The sequence below is a fragment of the Homo sapiens genome, chromosome 13, assembly GCF_000001405.40.
Source record: "Homo sapiens chromosome 13, GRCh38.p14 Primary Assembly".
Lineage (NCBI taxonomy): Eukaryota > Metazoa > Chordata > Mammalia > Primates > Hominidae > Homo > Homo sapiens.
In genome coordinates, this window is record NC_000013.11 from 51802738 (window position 1) to 51822004 (window position 19267).

Consider the following 19267-nt stretch of genomic DNA (forward strand, 5'->3'; position numbering starts at 1 on the left):
TTTTCTCTCCTATTCACTAAATCCACAACAGCAGGAAAACCCATCTAACTTTGCCAACTGCCTTCCCCTCCCCTCCCTTCCCCCACCAATCTGTGGTGGATTGGGCCCCTTGGCCTCACTTCTACCTTCCCTCAAGGTGGGGAAATCAGAGCGAAAGAGTCCTGGGAGAAATTTTTACAGTCTGCTTTCCTTGGGGCCCACCCCTGGTTGGAAACTGACTTAAGCTTTCATGCTGTGTAATGTGGAAAGATCCAGCAATTAATGGTCATTGCCAGAGGACACCCCTTTGAAAGAAAGAGGCTGCCACTGTATTCCCCTAAAAACTGTGGGACAGGGCTCACGACTACACTCCCCACCATTCTCTGCAGCAGGGGCTCCTGAGACAGAGCTGAACCTTCTCCAAAACGATGTGGGGTGAAGAGCAGGGAGTTGCAACTCCTACCTCCCCTAGGAGTGCTGGCCAGGTTGCCGTGGGAACTGATAAAGCCCCAGTGCAGGGAGAAGCCTCTCAGAGGTGAGAATCACCTGGGGCATTTGGATGAAATGCCAGTCCAGGCCCCTGTGCAGATCCACTAAATCAGAATCTGTAGGGATGGGGCCTGAAAACTGGGTACTTTTAATTCTCGCCCAGTGATTCTGATGTGCAGACAGGGTTGAGAACCAGCGGTTAGCCTAATCAATTCTAAGAGAAAACCTCCATCTCTCCTCCGTCACAGGAACCTGTCACCTCTTAAAACCACAATGAGGTGGAGAGCCAACTAGGGCACACTGAGCGTGGTCACGGGGCGACGAAACCACCACGCACCGTTCCCCAGAAGCACACACTGGCTGGAAAGTTCCAGCTGGAGCCAAAGGTCGCAGTCCAGGTGCTGCATCTTTTTAAAGGAAACACACCCAAAGGCACTAGGACAGAGCCTTAGCTAGCGATTTAGATCCAGCCCTATCTGACGCCGCCAGCAGCACCACGAAGACACTTCCACGAGCACACCCAGCGGGGCGCCGAGGTGCCGCCCAAGAGGCTCCTTGGCGCCGGGGCCGCCTGACGTCAGTGGGACGGCCCTGGGCTTGGGCGCGCCACAGCCCCGCCCCTCGGGCGCCAGTCTCGGTCGCGGGCATTGAGCGGCTGGAGTCTGGCGACTGCCCCACGCCCAGCCGTGGGTCGCTAGACGGCGGGCGCACCCGTCGTTCTGGACACGCTTAGTCGGCCCAGCGAGAGGGCGAAGGAGCCGCGGGCGCGTCCCCGCCAACCCTGCTCGCCCGCGCCGAGGCGGGCCACGTGACAGCCCGGGGCCCCGCGCCCCGCCGCGCCGCCTTACTTGGTGTACTCGCGCAGCCCCTTGGCGAACCACACGACGCTGCGGTACAGGGACATGCCGGGAGCGCCCCACGCCTAGCCCCACCGCGCTCCCGGCGCGGCCTCCGCCCTGGTCCCGCCCCCCGGGAGTCGCCCGCCCTGACATCATCCCGGTTATGTAAGAGCCGCGGCTTCCGGTTCCTTGCTCCACCGGTAAGGCAAGGGGTCTCGGGGCCGGCCGGTCGACTCCGCCCCAGCCTCAGAGGGTGGAGTGAGGGCGGACCGGCCCTGGTGGGGGCCGCAGTCGAGGTCCGCAGTCTCCTCGGGGTCGAAATCGGGCATCAGCGCCGTTTAGAGAACACCGTCCTGCTGGGCATGGCCGGGATGCGAAGATGGCCCTGCAACGCACCTCCTAGAATTTGGTTACCTAGAAAACCATGTGGAATAAAACGACGAGGCTTATGATATTTAAAAGACTTCTGCATCGAATTGGTGTTATCATAAGGGTTATTTTAATAACTGGCATTCTCTAAGTTTCTACACGTGTTGGGGGATGCAGTGCCGTGCCACATTTCCCGTCTCCAGCAAGCGCAGTCAGATTGGCGACATCGCAGGCAAGAGGCAGGGCTGGGGCTCCCACCCGAGAAGTAATTGTCTCCAAAGTTGGACTTTTGCCACTGGTTCTGCGACTTCATGCAATGCCAGGGAGAGCCCCTTGATTTCCCCCAAATCCTCATCAGCCTCTTTCCACCCAAGCCCAGATGAACAGTGTGAGTAAAAAAGAGTGTGGTTGCTGCGTGAACCCAGATCTCAGACTAGTCATCCAGCCCCATTATGTAGGACTCAGACACCCCTGTCCACATCTAACCTCCAGCCCTAACGCCACATTAGAAATGGGGGTCTTACTGCTGCTGTCACTCCTAGTCACCCTGTTAAATTCTATACCGGTTTACCCAAGTCGCCCAGAGACTGGGCCCCACTTACATAAGCTGAAGAGACCAGCTGCTTTAATAGCCTCATTACCTAGGATATAGGATCACTGTCCAACCTCACTCCACAGTGGGCAAGTTTTTACTTCAGAATAACTTTTGAAATAAATTTCCCCGGAACAGCTCGCCCCTCTCAACAGGACTCTGAGGCTCCACTACGTTGCTGTTATTCCTGACAGAGTGATGAAAGGAAATTTAAACAAGTGGCATTTTGTAAAACCACCCCAGCCTGTGTGACTTTCAATGCCTGTCCGATTTGGCTGGGAAAATATTTTAGATCCCCAGGGCTACATACTGTTTTTTATACCCTCCTCTTTGTGTCAGTGATGGAAAAGGTGTCAATCTGCTCTGAATCTCTCTGAACACCTCAGGAAATAGGCTTTTGGCTCGCAGAGAGGGGATGAGAAATAGTTTTGAACCACCAAGTCTCTTGGAGGGTGTCAGCAGCCCCTTGAAGTAAAAGTGTGGCTGCAAACCCAGCTCTCTGCATTAGCCAGGTGAACCTGAGCATGCTGCATACACCCTCAGTCTTGGTTTCTTAATATGTAAAATGGGAATGAATATGCGCACCTCGTGGGGTGGTTGTGATTAAAGGCATTCATTATAAAGAGCTTAGTTTCATACAAAGTGATCAGAAGTGTTGGTTTCCCTCCTTAAGTTTTCTTCTCATTCCTTTTTCCCCTGCGCTTACAGCCATGCAGTGTACATTCAAGAAATTTCCATGAGGGCATGAGGTGTCCAGTGTTAGCCTCAAATCAAGCATCCACGAGGTAGTTAGTGTATACATTATATACATTTAAAGAGGAGGTCTTAGGAAAAGCCAAACCCTGTCTCAAAATGAGCTTCCACTCTCACCTGGATGCCAAGTAACACACACACACAAACAAAGGGCAGTATGGAGTTCACAAGGGAATGTTCCCGTTTAACTGGAGTCAGCTGAGCTGGATTCTAGTCCAATTTCTGCCAGTTATTCCCTGTGTGACCCATGTGATAAAATGTATAGAAGGCTTAAAGTGTGCCAAGCATTGTGGATTATAGCACTTAATTCTCACACTGATCCATATGGTTACTCCTGCTATTATCCCCATTTTACAGATGAGCAAACTGAGAGAGGTTACATAACTTGACTCAGGTCACAGTAAATACATGGTGGAGCCAGGCTTTGAGACCAGGTAGTATGATTCCAGAGCCCACACCTTCCCTGCTGCATCATACTAAATGGGGGCAAGTCACTTAGCCTCTGGGCCTCAGTTTTTCTCATCTGAACAGAAAGGGGGCCAGACTAGGCGCCACCCAGGGCTCCTTTCAGCTCCAACTTTCTATACATCTACTAAGAAAATTACATATGGATGCTAAATAAGTTAGGCCCAGGGTGCTTTTAAGAGAAACGTCAAAGTGGATAGGGTTGCTTCATTTCCCAGGGGTGGAAAGCCACTAAAATATTTCTTCTGTGTTCCTGGTTCCAATTTGCCACTCAAAAAGCCAAACAAAGAAATCATCCCCCAGAGTTCCATTCCAATTGATTTAGATCCCTGAGGCTAATTTTGACCAAAATGGAAGGAGAAGCAGAAGGTGTGGAAACCCATGGCTTTCTGCACAACAGATACACATGATGAGAAGTCTGTATTCTCTTACACACATATACACACACACACACACACACAACCAGTGTTCATATCGCCTTCCACTGAAGCTCATACCAGTTCCTCTAGCCAAGTTGTCATGGCAACACCAGCTGCCAATGAGATCATGGAAGACAAGGTCATAATGGCAATGGTGCCTTAATATTTTACCTGGCAAAGCCACTTAGTTATTAAGATGAATAACCATAAGTCATAAACTCATAGGAAGCTAGGCACCATTCATGTACATGTTTAGTGTACAATTGGGGGTGGGGAATGGAAATGACAGCGAAGGGAAAGGAACAAAAAGGAAGAGAGGATGAGGCAGAGAGCGGAGAAGAAGGTCTCTGATGCTGATCCTTATTTTTCAGTGTGGACCATGCACAGGTGCTGACCCTACCTGTACATGGATTAAGGAACTGGGCTCTTCCTAATGACAAGAAGTGGGGGGCGGGTCATGGGATCCCAGCCTCAATCACAAAAGCCTTATCAGAAACCCAAGGCGACTGCTTTCTGGCATTCACTCCTAGCAGAAGAGAGCAGCAGCACAGGGAAGAGGTATGTGGTAGATACCAGCCCACCCTCCTCCCCACTCCGCAGCTGACACAGTCACCGTGTAGAAAGGCCCTTCCAGCTGCCTCCCCATGTCCCTCGGTGCCCATCATCCTTTACAGACTGGCTTGACCCAGGGCTGTCTGTTGCCCATCTGAACCAACTTCCTACCTAACAAATCAATTGGATTTAGGGGTTTCCTTCCTTTCACAAGAAGCTAATCACAATGTGGGCCTCTGGCCAGAACTTTGGCAGTGGGGAGCCGAGGCGGGAGACAGACTCAGTTTACATTGAATGCCTTCTGTGCCATTGAATTTTGTACCATGTGCATGAATCACTTACTTAGATTTAAAACATGCAGAGATCTACTTTCCCCAGCCCTGTGCACCCTCCAAGGACTGCAGACATTGGCAGTGAGATGGGCCCAAAGTGGGGCAGTAGTGAAGCCAGGGTGGTCAGTCTCCATGTAGCCAAGTTGATGGAGAAAGTGATTTTCCACAAACGGGACTCGTGTTCGTCTTAAACTCTCATGCAGCCTGCTTCTAGGGCTTCGGTTTTACGGCAAGCAAGTTCTGTTCTGAGTGCAAAAGCCGTGGGCTTTCTCTAGTGGTGCCTGGGGCAGGAGTAGCGCGAGGGCATGCAGGCTGCTTGGTGAGGTGGTTGTAGCTTGCCCTACCCACACTCTGTACCACCTTGTACCCACCTCTGGCCTCAGGAGAAGGGCCACCTACACAGGCGGGAGAGGGATGCAGACGCAAGGTGAGAACTGGGATAGAGAGTCAGAAGGCCCACATTCAGCTCTGAGGCATCTTCAGAAAAGACACTTTACCTCCGTGAGCCTCAGTTTCCCCTCTACAGAGGAGCATAACTGTACAGTCCTCACAGCATTGTAATGAGAGTGAAATAAAGAAAATTTTCTCTTATTTAACAAATGCTCTACCTACTATGTGCCAAGCACTGTTTTAATCTCCTTACCAATGAAAACGAGGCACAGAGAGTTTCAGTGGCACATCCAAGATCACACGCATCTGGAAAGGGGCAGAGCCAGGATCCCAGCCTGACGGTCTGGGTCCAGATGCCACATGCTTAACCCCTTCTCTGTAAGGACGAGGGACATGTCCCATGGTGGTGTCTCCTCATTTCTTCTTTTAGTAACTTCTGTGGGACTGGAAATTTCCACTACTGTCCCCTCCCCTTTTTCGGTTGGTTGATTTGTTCTTGGGTGTGACAGGGTAGCTTATAATTCCCACAGTTTTTTCTACCAGGATTCCTCCCACTCCCAAACCCCTAAGCCAGTGGCACTCAGAGCTGGATGCTGAGCACTGCAGTCACTAAGAGTGAGACTGGGTTTGCAGCCTGGCCCTGCATATGCAGACAATGACCAAATGACCCCGCACTGGCCAGCTATTTAATATTGAGCGACTGTGGAGGCTTGGGAGGACTGAGGAATACATTACTTATTTTTATTTTTGACTATGGTAAAATACACACAACATAAAATTTACCATTTTAACCATTTTTAAGTGTACAGTTCAATATTAAGTACATTTACATTGCCGCGCAACGATCCATCTTCAGAACTTTTTCATCTTATTAAACTGAAACTCTGTATCCATTAAACAAGAACTCCTCATTGCCCCCTTCCCCAGCCCCTGGTAACCACCATTCTACTTTCTATCCCTATGAATTTGACTACTCTAGGGACCTCATCTAAGTAGAATCACACTTTGCCTTTTTGTGGATGGCTCATTTCAGTTAGCAACATGTCCTCCAGGTTCATCCATGTTGTAGCAAGTTTCAGAATTTCCTTCTTTTTTAGGGCTGCATAGTGTTCCATTGTGTGTATAAACCACATTTTGTTTATCCATTCATCCATAGATGGACACTTGGATTGCTTCAATTTCTTGGCTATTGTGAATAATATTAATATGAACATTGGTGTGCAAATACCTCTTTAAGACTCTGATTTCAGTTCTTTTGTGTGTATACCCAGAAGTGGAATTGCTGGGTGATATGGCAATTTTATTTTTAATTTTGGGGGGACCTTCCCTACTGTTTTCCATAGCTGCTGTGCCACGTTATGTTCCCACCAGTATTGCACAAGGGCTCCGGCTCACCGCATTCTTACCAACTTGTTATCTTCAGAGTTCGTTCCTTTTTTTATTTAATGGCATCCATCCTGATGCGTATGAGATTGCACCTCATTGTGGTACATTATTAATTTTTGTTATGTAACAACATACATTTTATACCTTCTGCAATATTCAGGTGTTGCTTCCGTCTTGTATCTGTTGCCGAATATATCTCAGTTGTAGGTATTCACACAATCACACGATATTGGAAGGATAGTTTGGTCCTTAAGTAGGTGGCTTTGATTTTTTTTTTTTTGAGACGGAGTCTTGCTCTGTCGCCCAGGCTGGAGTGCAGTGGCGTGATCTCGGTTCACTGCAAGCTACGCCTCCCGGGTTCACGCCATTCTCCTGCCTCAGCCTCCCGAGTAGCTGGGACTACCGGTGCCCACCACCACGCCTGACCAATTTTTTATACTTTTAAGTTAGCCAGGATCGTCTCCATCTCCTGACCTCGTAATCCGCCTGCCTCGGCCTCCCAAAGTGCTGGGATTTTTTAATGGTTTCCTTGGTGATGGTGGGATTTTGTTGACTCTCACACTCCTGGGGAACATAGAGAATAGCATCCACCCTAATCAACCTCTCTCCTCTCAGGAGCTCGATGAGTCGTCGCGTCCAGGTGAGTCTCCCTCAGGTGCATCATGTGCCTAATCCAAAGGCCCTGCAACGAACTTCCCTAGGAGCCCAGTTCAGCCAGGGGCCTACTTAGGTACACGACAGGAGGAATGGCAAACAGTTTCTCAAACTGACCTCTCAGCTGTTCATTTGTCAAAATACAGTTTCACATTACTGCTTTTCCCATTTTGATTCACAGAAATGAGAGACCAGGCAAGTTACAGAGGATGAGCCTCTTAAAATAAGTCCTATGAATACATATTAGTCGTGTTTGAGGCAGAGCTCTGCGCTGGTAATGGAAAGAAATCCATGATCCAGGAAATAGAAAAATGCAGCTTGTCAAATAATATGAATAGTCTGACATAATTTTTTTTTCTTTTCTTTTTTTTTTTGAGACGGAGTCTCGCTCTGTTGCCCAGGCTGGAGTGCAGTGGTGCCATCTCGGCTCACTGCAACCTCCGCCTCCCGGGTTCAGGCGATTCTCCTGCCTCAGCCTCCCAAGTAGCTGGGACTACAGGCACACGCCACCACACCCAGCTAATTTTTGTATTTTTAGTAGAGACAGGGTTTCACCATGTTAGCCAGGATGGTCTCAATCTCCCGACCTCGTGATCCGCCCACCTTGGCCTACCTAAATGCTGGGATTACAGGCATGAGCCACCACGCCCAGCCTAGTCCGACATAATGTAGGTAAAAAGTACCTATATTTATGCTTAACGATACATAGACATATTCCAAAAGGATACTACAGAATTAACACTGGGTACCTTTTTGGGGACCGGGAGTTGGGGGGGTGCTTCAAATCTTTTACTTTTTACCTCATACTCGTTTACACGATTTGAATCTCTAGCCATAGCATGTATCACTTTTATAATAAAAATAAAGCTTTAAAATTGTCATTTTAGGAAAATAAAAAGGGTTGTAAAAGGGGATATACTAGTAATTTATGTCATGCCTCCAGCTGTGGAGAAATAACCCTGGCTTAGGCCGGCTTCCCTGGAAGCAGAGTCTGAGATGAAGCTCTGGGATAAGGGATGTGTTGAGGGTGTGGCCTTGGGAGAAACGAACTAGGGTAAGGGAGGAAGCACTGGGGAAAGGGAAGCGCTGGGAAAGGATGTGGCTTTCCACGAAGCCCTGCTTTCACCTGATCCCGCGGGCAGCTCTGGTGCATAAATGCCTCAAGTTTGACCTGCCCTGAAACAAGGGAGTTGGGCTTTTCCTCCCTCTTCCCCGACTCAGCCCTTAGCTATGGCTGTCGGTGGGGTGAACTGGGAGCGGGGAGAACTCTCAGGCTCCAGCTGGCTCCAGTCAACCAAGGCGGCCCCCACAAAAGGGTGCAGGTGTGCGCCATTAGCGCCAGCACCTGCTGCTGGGGGCGGGAGGGGACGCTGGGCTGCCAGAAGGGATCCCAGGGGAATCTGGGCTTCAACCCCTTTCCCCAGTGACTTGGGAATCGAACCCAAACTGGCTTCCTTATAAACAAATGTATAAACTGTAAATTGATGTAGGAAATGTTTTTCTTTTCTGTTTTCTTTTTGATGGCTATGGGAAGGTACAGGCTACAGGACATTGTATTAAATAGCAGCTTAAATACTCAAAAAAAGATATAAAGAGTAAAAAACATCAGTTTGCAAGAGTCCGATCAGACAGCAAGACTTTTGCAGTGGTGGGAAAATCACTGGAAGGCTGGAGAAGAGGATGTGCCAGCCTGCTCTCAGGAAGCAGGCGGCGAGGGTTCTGATCTGGCTACTGTTAGTGGTCAAGAAGACTTTTTTATTTTTTTCACTTCCTTGGCAATGTATATCTCACCACTGATTATATCTCCCTTCCGGCATTGAGAAGTTGAGGAAATTCAAAGACAGATTTGAACCCAGGACTAGATAACCCAGAGAATAAGGCCAAAGAAAGGCAGGGGTGGCTCTAGGAGGCTGTATTCTAAGGCCTACAATTCTCTGGGCTGCCTTGACATCTCTGAGCCTCACAGAGGCCCAAGGGCTTAACTGTGAGTTCCTCTGTGAGTTCCCCTGCCCTCACCAGGCATGCCCCTGACCCAGCAGGCAAGGTCTCCCACCTGACCAGTACCCTGTCAGTCACCACCACTCACCCAGCCACCAACCTAATGGGTTTCCCCTCACTGCCCGTCTGTGAAATTACTCAAGCAAGACAGGAAACTCCTCCCATGGGAACACAGGGTTACCTGGTCCTCTTGCTACTACAAGGCATGACCCCCACGGCCCCTGCCGGTCCACTCTGTTCCCAAGTGCAAGCCCCATGTGGCCCTGCATAACATGCTGTGTCCTCCTCCCCCAGGCAGTGAGTCTAGTGACTAATAAGCTGCTGTCCATCACATCTGTCCAGTGGGGGAAGGGTTGCATTTGGGCTTCTCCCACTATTTAGGACAGGGACCCCTCCCTCACCAATAGGGTAAGTAGGAAGTAATCAGAACAGAGGGACGTTTTGAGTCACAAGCCTTTTTGGGAACATGCTGTATGTGCAAACTCTTAATACCAGCAGCAAGTCCCAGTTGCTTTTCCTTTGCCTATGAAGCAGAGCTTACTTCTCTGAACAATGCAGTAAGTTTTAAAAGCTGACCAGTATAACAAAGGAAGTGTCTTAGAGAAAACAACAGGGCTGGGTGAGGTGGCTAATGCCTGTAATCTGCGCACTTTGGGAGGCTGAGGCAAGAGGACTGCTTGAGGCTAGGAGTTTGAGACCAGCCTGGGCAACATAGTGAGACCCCCATCTCTTAAAAAAAAAACCCCACAAAAAACAAAAAACCAACCAACCAAAAAAACCTGACTGGGCACGGTGGCATGCCTATAGTCCCAGCTACTCAAGAAGCTGAGGTAAGAAAATTACCCCAGTCCAGGAGTTCAAGGCTGCAGTGGGCTTTGATTGTACCACTGGACTCCAGCCTGAGTGACAGAGCAAGACCCCATCTCTTAAAAAAGAGAGAGAGAAAACAACAGATGTATTTGGAAACACTCTTCTCTTATTTCTCTTCTGCTTGCAATGGCAAAATGCTGTCTCCTGGGATATCCAAGATAACGTAGCTGCTGTGATGCTAGGCTAACCTGAAAAGTGAACTACTGAAATTCTAGCTCTAGAAAAGACAGACTAGTTGTCTTATTAGTTCTATACTTATAAAAGATAAATTATCACTAGGATTACTAAGAAGAATTTTCTGTTAGATCATTTTTCTCAATTCTCCACTACAGACTCATCTACTCACCTGAGGATTATGAGGATTATGAGTTTTATGGAGCAAAATTTGCCTAGAACAGGTTGTCAGCTTCTGTGGACACAGTCTTCTACCCTCAGAAATCCCATTGGAAGAAAGAACAAATGAAGCATCCCAAGGACTGGAGGATTCTCTTCCCCCAGGGTATTCAAGGAAGACACTGGGGAACAAATTGAACAAAGTTTATTTCATCAACAATGAAAAATGCCCAGAAGGAAATGAAGCACAAGATTCAGTTACACAAAGATGAAAGCTATTGACCACTTGGCCACTTCTCATACTAAAAGAGAAGGAAATAACACGAAGTACTGGAAGTGACATTATATTGTCCTCATGGTGACAACCAGGATGGGCCTGACATAAGCCAGTCCAGGCTGTATGTGTGGCCCGAGTGCACACATGCGGTTTCTCTGGCCACCGAATCAGAACCAGCTGGGCCCCACAAGTCAGTCTCTGGGGGCTGTGATTCTGCATTGCAAACAAGTCCTTGGGTAGCTCTCAGGGTTCACCAAGATTTGAGAACCACTAGTGTGGCTGACTCCAGTGAAACAGTCCCACTTTTACTGCTTTCAACTGTCATTTATATAGATTCAGGCAAAGAATGGTTTTTAGAATGATGCCCGATGTAGCAAATAAAATGATCTCAACATATAGTTTATCTTTGCTGCAGTCTTTTCTCAGATGGGAAGAACAGATTATCCCTCTCTGCCACATAATTTGTTCCCTTGAGGTTTCATAGCATCCAGAAAGTTCAGGTGTTCCCATGTCCACTTCCCATTGCCTTGCCAGGTTCCCATGGAGGAAGGCTGCCCAGCTCTTGGGCCAGTCTTAGATGGGCATTTTCATTCTCCAGGTATACACAGCACATTTCATATCAGTGTGGACTGCCTACTTCAGGCCATGCCAAGGATTATAACTTCTTCTATAACCAGGAACTTCTTACACTCACCTCCAGCTCAGTGAAATTATACTAAGAGGTGATCACTTAAAGGGCACGCAGCTCAGCCCTTCCTAGACAGTCTGGGTGTCATCCCTGGATTAAGCCAGACTTCAAAGAACCACAGTTATAGACCATTTGCCTTACTTAGCCCCAGAGCCTCTTTCTTGAAATGTGCCTTATCATAACCATCTCACCATCTCCTGAGGGAGGCCTTAATCAGTTATCATTCAAAGCCTGCTGCGCTTGAAGATGTCACCCACTGAACCATTCAGTGTCCCCTCTATGAATGGATGCACATGAACATTTTCTTTAGGATCTAACCTGTTTCCCCAGAAGGGGGTAATTTTGTTTTTTAGAGATGGGGTCTCATTCTGTCACCCAGAGTAGAGTGCAGTGGTGCAATCATAGCTCACTGTAACCTCAAACCAGGGAAGATGTATGACCTATACAAAGAGATCATCACCTCTTCCTTACTGCTTTGGTGACAAGAAAACTCAAAGCTAAAAATATAGTCCAGATTTTAGCAATTATTTAGGACCTATGACCAGTATTCTCCATTGCAACTGGGGGTGGGCTGGTGGGGTGCATATGAGAATGAGCACACTTCATCCACCACTCCCTCTGGGAAAGATTTCTGCAACACTCTGGTGATACTCATGCCTACCAGAAACTGGGAATGTCCAACGTTTGAGACCTAGCTACTGATGTATCCAAAGCACTAACCAGTACCTGCCATCTGCTAACAGAAATCTTCATGCCCATGGTTGTTCACAGCTCTTTCCGCCTTTGCCAAGGCCCTCGCAACAGAAGCCTCAGAGGCTTTCATGTGGGAGTCATGCAGGTGTCCCTGGGCCCAGGTCTTTGCTGCTCACAGATGTCCAAGCATTGGCTAAGTGACTGGGAATGGCTGACGAGTCATGGACTGGGGAAAGGAGGGTGGGAGAGGAGCCCATGGAACTCCTGTCCACCCCAGTATCATAGCCCACAGACTCTCCCCAGTCCCCAACACAGAGAGGGCAACGTGGGACACAGTGAGGATGGAATTGGGCATCATAGGTGAGGTAGGATCTGCAAACTGCACACCCGCTGGTCTTCTGCCATGGCTCAAGTGAAAATGAAAACAGAAACTGCCCTTAGGGACAGGGGCAAAAAAAGGGCTGTTCTTCCTTTGTCCAGCAGATGGCACACCAAGCACTTTCTTCTCACCTGGGAGGAAAGGGGGACTAACGGTGACTGCCCGGGGAGTGCTTCTAAACTGAAATGGGAAGACCCCATGGGACTCACGGGGCCTTTCTCTTAAAGCTACGGAGAAGAATGAGCCTCTTGGTTTGAGCTGACACTTCTGATGAAGGGAGGTGCCTCCATTCATGGCCACTCAGGGATTGGTTTGATGAGAAAGCACGAAAACATAACAAAGTTAAAAAATAAACACAGCTCAGCAGTGTGTAAATATACAGAAATGCTATGCACGTGGCTGAGAGAAGCACGGTTAAGCAGGTGCCACGCACCCCTGGGCACTGCCCTAGAAACACTCATGACAGTATCTTCATACAAAATTCTAAAACATGGGACTTTTTGCTCATAAAGAGGCTCCCCAGCGAGCACTGACAACAGACCTGGACTTCATCTCTCAACAGCGGCAGCCAGAGGGAAGGTTAGTGGTCACTGTTCGGTGTCATCCTGGACTTCCAGACATCTCAATTTACAAAAGGCTTCCAAAGCCTAACTGGTCATTAGGTTGAGGAGCTATTATTCGATATTTAAGCTCAGAAACCAAAAACAGCTACACTGACGGCACCCCAACTCATGCAACCTGTCCAGAAACATACAAAACTGGTTTATGCCACCCAGCCAGCCGCAGATCATAGAGAGGTACTTGAATAGCCAGAGGCAGAGACAGACTCAAGGCCAAGCAAAGAACCTGCAGCAGCGGCACACGGTGCACACGGCGCTGCACTCCGCAATGCCTGTAGCAGGCCAGCCCGCCCCCTATGTGGAAGCTACTGCTTTGACGTTGTTAGATTTTATAGCTGACCTTGGGATGTTCCACCCATCACGTCAAACCTATCTGATATAGGGCTGGAAGAGACTGCTCCTTCACTTTCCCAAAAGGCAGCTAGAGTCACTAAAAGAATATCTTTTTCCTTTTAATAACAAAAGCCATCATAGCGAGTGAAGTTAAGATATATCTTGTGTGAAAGTCTGTGCACTTTCTATAACTTCAAGGTGACCATGGCTGAATGACAGCAGCAGTAGCAACAACCAACCTTGCTCTTGCACCAGTCATTGAAATTGCACTATGATTTGAAAAGGTCTCCCATTCTTTGCCTCCCACACTTCATACCCTCAAAAACAATTATCCCTTTGAAAACTCTTGTGAGAACAAAATTCCCACTCTGAAAAGAGCAGAAGTGATTTCCCCATGTCTAGGAAGGCAAGAGTTTCTTTAGTCTGCTATTATATTCAGTGCCTTTGGGTGGCTTTTTAAATGCCTTCAGGGAAGGTTTTATTACCTTTATGCCCTTCTCTGAACCTGTGTGTGTGTGTGTGTGTGTGTGCGTCTGTGTGTCTGTGTGCACGCGCGTGCATGCACACGCATATGCATACATGGTATGCTGGACAAGGCAGCTGTCAGTCTTCATCGGCAGCAAGTCTCCACCTGGAGCACAGGTAGACACAGCCGCTGCACAGCAGGAGCAAGACCAGCACAGTGTGACTGAGCGCCAGGACTCCGACTGCAAAGAGGTACAGGGTTTTGTCACAGTAGTCCTGAGGCTGCTGGAAAGGGGGAAGAAAATCAGGCAGGTACACAGAAAAGACCCAGTAGTTTCCCAGGATGAACCAGAGGAAGAGGAAGAGGCTCAGCAGGAGGTGGATGTAGTATCTGTGCGCATTCTGCCTCCAGGGGTATTCGTCATCGTCATCGTCATCAATCACCACGGCCTTGGACAGCAGCCGCCTCATCCTGGTGGAGTCGTACAACAGGAGAGACACCTGGGGCGTGGTGGGGAGCCAGGGTGGCAAGGCAGAGCAGCAAAATAGACGGGAAGAGAGGGGATAGAAGGTAGCGGTGGTGGGGTGTTGGCAGGGAGAGAGAAAGAGGAGAGAGAGGAAGGTGTTATGAAAAGTGAACAACACACTGGAGTTACAAATGCCATCAAGCAACGAAATTTAATTTGAAGAATAAGAATTAAAACTGGCAAGAATGAAGGCATAAATTCATCGCCAGCATCCTCAGTGGTGTTTTCCTTTTAGATGTGTGAGTTGGTTTGGACAAGGGATTGGCTGGGGTAACCCATCTCTGCATCAAGGTTCAGACTGACTCTCTCCTGTATTGTGCTAGCACATTTGCACCCACACATAATGTAAAAATGACACCTGGTCCGCATGCTAGAGGACCTTGAAATATATCCCTCTGTCTTGGGAGGAACCCCTAGCAGACTTTTCCCTGGTACTTCCAGGCCATGTAACAGGCTTGGCCGAATCCAGGTACCGTGAGCCGTTTCCTCCCCACCCCAGCCCCGCCCAGCCTGCTTTCTCTCTTCTTGGAAGTTTGTACCACTGCCCATCTCAGGCATCTGGAATTCCCAAGTGGGGCTGTGGACTGAGAGTCCCTCTCAGTCCTCGTACATCTTTCAAGTCAAGAGCACAGACCCTTGTCCTGGGAGTGATACTCTTGGGGGACAGACCATCTGGGCCCCTGGTAGATGGTCCCTGACTCCAGCCTGACACGCCTTCGAAATTCTGCTGCCACTTGGTTACACAAAGCACCACGACCCACCCGACTCTAACTGGCCACAAATGCCTTTGTCACAGGGGAGCACACTTTCCCCCTGGAAATGCAGCGGTGGAAGGACACAGGTGGTCTTTGCTAAGGAATGCCTTAACAGCTCCCCGTCTTCTCTACCTAGCAACTTGATCTGTGATGTTTTTGAAAGCCTGACCTGTGTATCTGCTCTCTCTGGCTTCCTAGGCTACCCATCTCTCCCGAGGCCACACTCATGGCACCCCTAACCCTGGAGAGCAGGGCATTAGAAAGAATCCTTGGATGACGGAGGATGTGGCCGACTGGCAGAGGCGGGGAGAGATGCTGAGCTTGAGTGAAATGGAAGGGCAAGCAGGAGCCAAGAGATGCAGCTAACTGGGCTCCAAACTGTAAAGAGAAGCAAGGATAAAATAAAGAGAGACAGAGAGATGGGAACAGCGAACCCCAAGCTGTGCCTTGGGTAGGTGATAACTCCAGATTTGGACTTGTTCCATTTAAAATTTTGGATGGAAATGCAGGGTCTAGTGGCCCACAGGGGGCAGAGTCAGAGCCTGGAGGTGAACAGAGAGAGGTGAGGACTCCTGGCAGAGATCTGGGGGTTACCCGTGAGGAGGTGATAGTGACTCTGGGAATGGATGTTGTACAAAAATAGACCCTGGTGCTGGGCAAAGCGCTTGACATACATTATCTCAATGAATTCTCCCAGCCTGAGGCTAGAGGTACTAAATAAACATGGGCGCAGGACCAAAACTGGAGCCATTGGGCCAAAATGTCAACAGCAATTTTCTCTGGGTGGTGAAATTTACAGATGATTTTGATTTTCTTCTTTGTGCTTATCTGCATTCTCTGATTTTCCAAAATGGAGAGTTATTACTTATGTAAAGATACAAAACCTAAGGAGAGTGGTTAGTTTAATGCTTGGTATGTGTGATCTTTAATGTCCATCCTAGCCTGGGGCCGCGTATTATCTCTGTTGCCCAAATGAGGAAACTAAGGCTCAGAGAAGTTAAGTCACTTCACTGAGATCCACAGTGAGTAAGAGAATGAGAAGGGCAGTGGTCCACACCTCTTTGACCACTGTCTACACCACAGTACACTGATGATTAAATCGGAGGAAATTAAATTGGAGGGTTCTCGCCTAAGACTTGCAGCCCGGCTGGGAGGCAGAACATCTCCATAAGAAAAGGAAAGTGAGGCCTTGGGGGAGTTCAGAGAGCCACCCACAGTAGAGCTGACTCATCCAGGGAGGGCTGCCTGGAAGAAGGGGCATACTTGGGACCCCTATGCACAAGGAGAGGTGCGAGGGTCCTCCTCTGAGGGGGAGTGGTGTGGCAAAGGTGAAGGGTGGTGGGTTTAGGGTAGGGGAAAAACCAATTGCCTGTAGTAGGTTGGCTGACGGTGGCTGTGTGGTTGGGAAAGCCCAGGCTGAACACCAGCTCGCTGTTTCCTCACTGTAAGCTGGAACTGAGAGTCCAGCTCAAGTTTCCATCACTCAGATGCATTTCCCTTCCTTGCAGGGCCCCATTCCTTGGAGGAATTCCCCCACCCACCACGTGTCCCCAGATCTGGCTGCCCTCCCAGGACTGGTTCTTGGCTACAATGATGCCAGGAGAAAGGAACCAGCCCAAGGAAAGAGCCGTGGCAAGTGGGTCCCACTGCCCAGGCTTCCTGGAGCCACCTGGCCCCCTTCTCTCCCACTAACCTTTGAGGTTGTGAGCTCTTCCAATCAATGACCTCTTAAGTTAGCCAGAGTTGATTTTTTGTTCCTTGTAGTCAAAGAATCCTTCCTGAAGCAAGTACCTGCCTCAAAGGGGCACGGTGAGGACTGAATGAATTCCAAATGAGGGCAGAGCCGTCAGCATGGCATCAGCAAAAAGCACATGCTTACTAGGGGTAGCAATTGCCACTAGGAAGGGTGATGTGGGAAGATGAGGGGGAGTGCAGGGTAGGCAATGGTCACTGAATCCGTCTTTTGGAAACTGTCTTTTAACATGACCCTCAGTAACAAATACATTTTATGCCAGGTCCTAGTCACTGGGTAACTGCATGTCCTTGTTGGCTTAGAGAAGTCCTGGTTTATGCTGTTGCTCTGGCAGGATGATTATTAGAGCCCCCTTGTACTCTCAAAAGTGTCCCAGTTAGGATGATAAATTACACGGTCAACTCACCCAAACACACACATGTCCATATGTAAGTATCACACAATACTTAACTTACTAGGCACTCTAATTTTCTATTTTATTTTTTAAAAAGCAGGTCACACACAGCCTACTTAATTCATTTCCTGATCTTTTAATGGGGCATGACCCTCAGTTCTTTCTGGTAGCTCCATGAAATGTCAGCTCACATCTCTTCAAGTTTCTCTTCATAGAATGCAATACTGTGAAGCTATCTGATGCATTTCACGAAGGATGTTGGGACCCCCTAGGCAGGTTCTGAGGTTGAATACAAACCATCATTATCACAGGCAAACTTCTGCCTCTGGGGACTCTAATCCTGTTTGCCGCTGCTCTAATGGTTATGGACTCACTGTATATTACCTTGCCATCATGAGCACAAAAATTTAATTTGGCTTCAAACGGTTTTAGATTGCCAGGGCAAAAAATCAATGCTGCTTATTAGGGCCTTAGTTTGTTCACTAAAATAAATTACCTTTGGGTCCTGGGCTGGCTTTCAGAAAGGAAAAGTTTGCTGTTTTTAAGAGGAACAGACCCCACGGACAGTAGCATCTCTAAAGGAAAGTTCTGCTGGGCAGCTTGACGATGAGTGAGAACAGGAGAGGCAGAGGTAATTACTGCTGAAAACGCTGCCCTTGTTTTAAGCATCTCTATGGCACTCAAACCGTTAGAGCCTTCCCTTAACACTGTGGGGGCCATGGGGAAAATGTGGCCCCGCTGAGCCAAGAGCCTTTGGGTTTTCTTGGAGCTGAACAGAGTCCCAGGTAGATCCCATGGGGATGTTGTGATGGGGATGATTGTGTGTACTTGTACATTTTAGGACACTGCCCACCAGATTGCTGTTAGGAGATGGGGACATTTAACAGTGAGGTTACCTCAAACACAAAAGCCTCCTAAGGTTTGCCCCAAATCAGACGTCTCCCACGACAGAGTTGAGCTTGTGGCTACCAATTGCATATGAGAACAGCAATTTTCAAGACGTTCCTTTGATGTCTTAGATCAACAGCATGACCAGCGCCACTGGCCAGGATCTCTCCAAGGATCCCCGCACCAGAAGGCAGCTGGCAAAGAAACCCAACACTGGGTCCGAATGAGAGTTCATACTTGGCACTCTTGACTCAGTTTTCTCTTGTGTTACGGCTTTGTTTTTATGAAACCATCTTGGGAAAATGGATGCTTGTGTTTTCTGGCTTTGATATAGAAAGTGGTGAGGTGGGCTTGGAAGACTGGGAAGAGTTGTTGATAGACAGAGGCTGACCTAAGCTTCTCTTGGTAGGTGTAACATTTCTGTGGGCCAGGGATCTTGAAAACAATTGCAGGCTATGCACGCCCCTGATATTTCTTCTTCAGTTGCTTTTTCTGTTTAAACAAATGTCAATACAGCCCAGGAGCAGATTAACTACATAACCTTGAGAGTCACAGAGAAGCACTCCTACCTCAGGCATAAGAATACTTTAATAGTTGATTGATAACTGCAGCCAATTAATCCTATGTTAGTCAATTGAGAACTAGGAAGTATAGTTAAAAGCAGAAATAGGAACTGCTAAATCAAACATATTTTAACCAAATGCAAACCCTGCCTTCAACAGGAAGCTTTTTTTTCCTCAAAAAAAAAAAAAAAAAAAGCAAAAAAAAAAAAAGCAGCAGCAGCAGCAGCGCAGAGAAAGACCATGATTTCACTGGCTGAATTCAATGGTATAACTGGCAGTCAGGGACTCCTCTGCATCAACTCTTGTCAGACCAAAGCCACAGCTTAGCACATTGAACTCAACAGCAGGAAGGAAGCTCTTGCAAATATGCACAGCCCTGGGTAAATGCCCTGCATCTGGAAAAATCTGTGTCTCTGGAGCTAGCCCCATCACTTCAGCAACCACGCTTAGGGGGAAGTTGTTTTGTCTCCCCTGTGAATAGCAGGCAAATAACAGGTGCATTACAGGATGCC

The 19267-nt window shown here is 48.3% G+C and overlaps 2 protein-coding genes and 1 long non-coding RNA gene across 49 annotated transcripts in view, besides 2 other annotated features; 1 reads left to right on the top strand and 2 right to left on the bottom strand.

Annotated features, from left to right (window-relative positions):
- Positions 1-1426, bottom strand: part of DHRS12 (dehydrogenase/reductase 12) — a 49310-nt gene extending 47884 nt beyond the window's left edge. For 37 of the 40 annotated variants that reach the window (XR_007063698.1, NR_165332.1, NR_165330.1 and 34 more), the window contains exon 1: positions 1317-1426. Coding sequence is in view for 20 of the 40 variants with exons in the window: in XM_047430637.1 (XP_047286593.1) it covers positions 1317-1372 (56 nt within the window). In the remaining 20 variants the exon portion in view is untranslated. Of the gene's footprint in view, positions 1-805; positions 999-1316 lie in introns of those variants that run through there. The other 3 variants (NM_024705.2, NM_001270424.1, NM_001377932.1) reach the window with 2 other exon arrangements.
- Positions 987-1626: a silencer, noted in NCBI's record as "silent region_5377". NCBI's record gives its function as "represses an Ori minimal core promoter by ATAC-STARR-seq in GM12878 lymphoblastoid cells {active_cell/tissue: GM12878}" and the evidence as "EXISTENCE:reporter gene assay evidence [ECO:0000049][PMID:35858748]".
- Positions 1099-11095, top strand: LOC107984561 (uncharacterized). 2 transcript variants are annotated; one of them, XR_007063805.1, is made up of 2 exons: positions 1099-2064; positions 10420-11095. It is a non-coding gene; the product is annotated as an uncharacterized LOC107984561 (long non-coding RNA). The 2 variants fall into 2 exon arrangements; XR_001749874.3 differs by lacking the exon at positions 1099-2064 and adding an exon at positions 2392-4463.
- Positions 2177-2306: an enhancer, noted in NCBI's record as "active region_7782". NCBI's record gives its function as "activates an Ori minimal core promoter by ATAC-STARR-seq in GM12878 lymphoblastoid cells {active_cell/tissue: GM12878}" and the evidence as "EXISTENCE:reporter gene assay evidence [ECO:0000049][PMID:35858748]".
- The window catches only part of TMEM272 (transmembrane protein 272), a 121020-nt gene continuing 112362 nt past the window's right edge, over positions 10610-19267 (bottom strand). For 6 of the 7 annotated variants that reach the window (XM_047430278.1, XM_047430280.1, XM_047430279.1 and 3 more), the window contains one exon: positions 10610-14376. In XM_047430278.1, coding sequence (XP_047286234.1) covers positions 14014-14376 — 363 coding nt within the window. In that variant the 3' untranslated portion in view covers positions 10610-14013. Of the gene's footprint in view, positions 19227-19267 lie in introns of all 7 variants that reach the window. The other variant, XM_047430281.1, reaches the window with a different exon arrangement.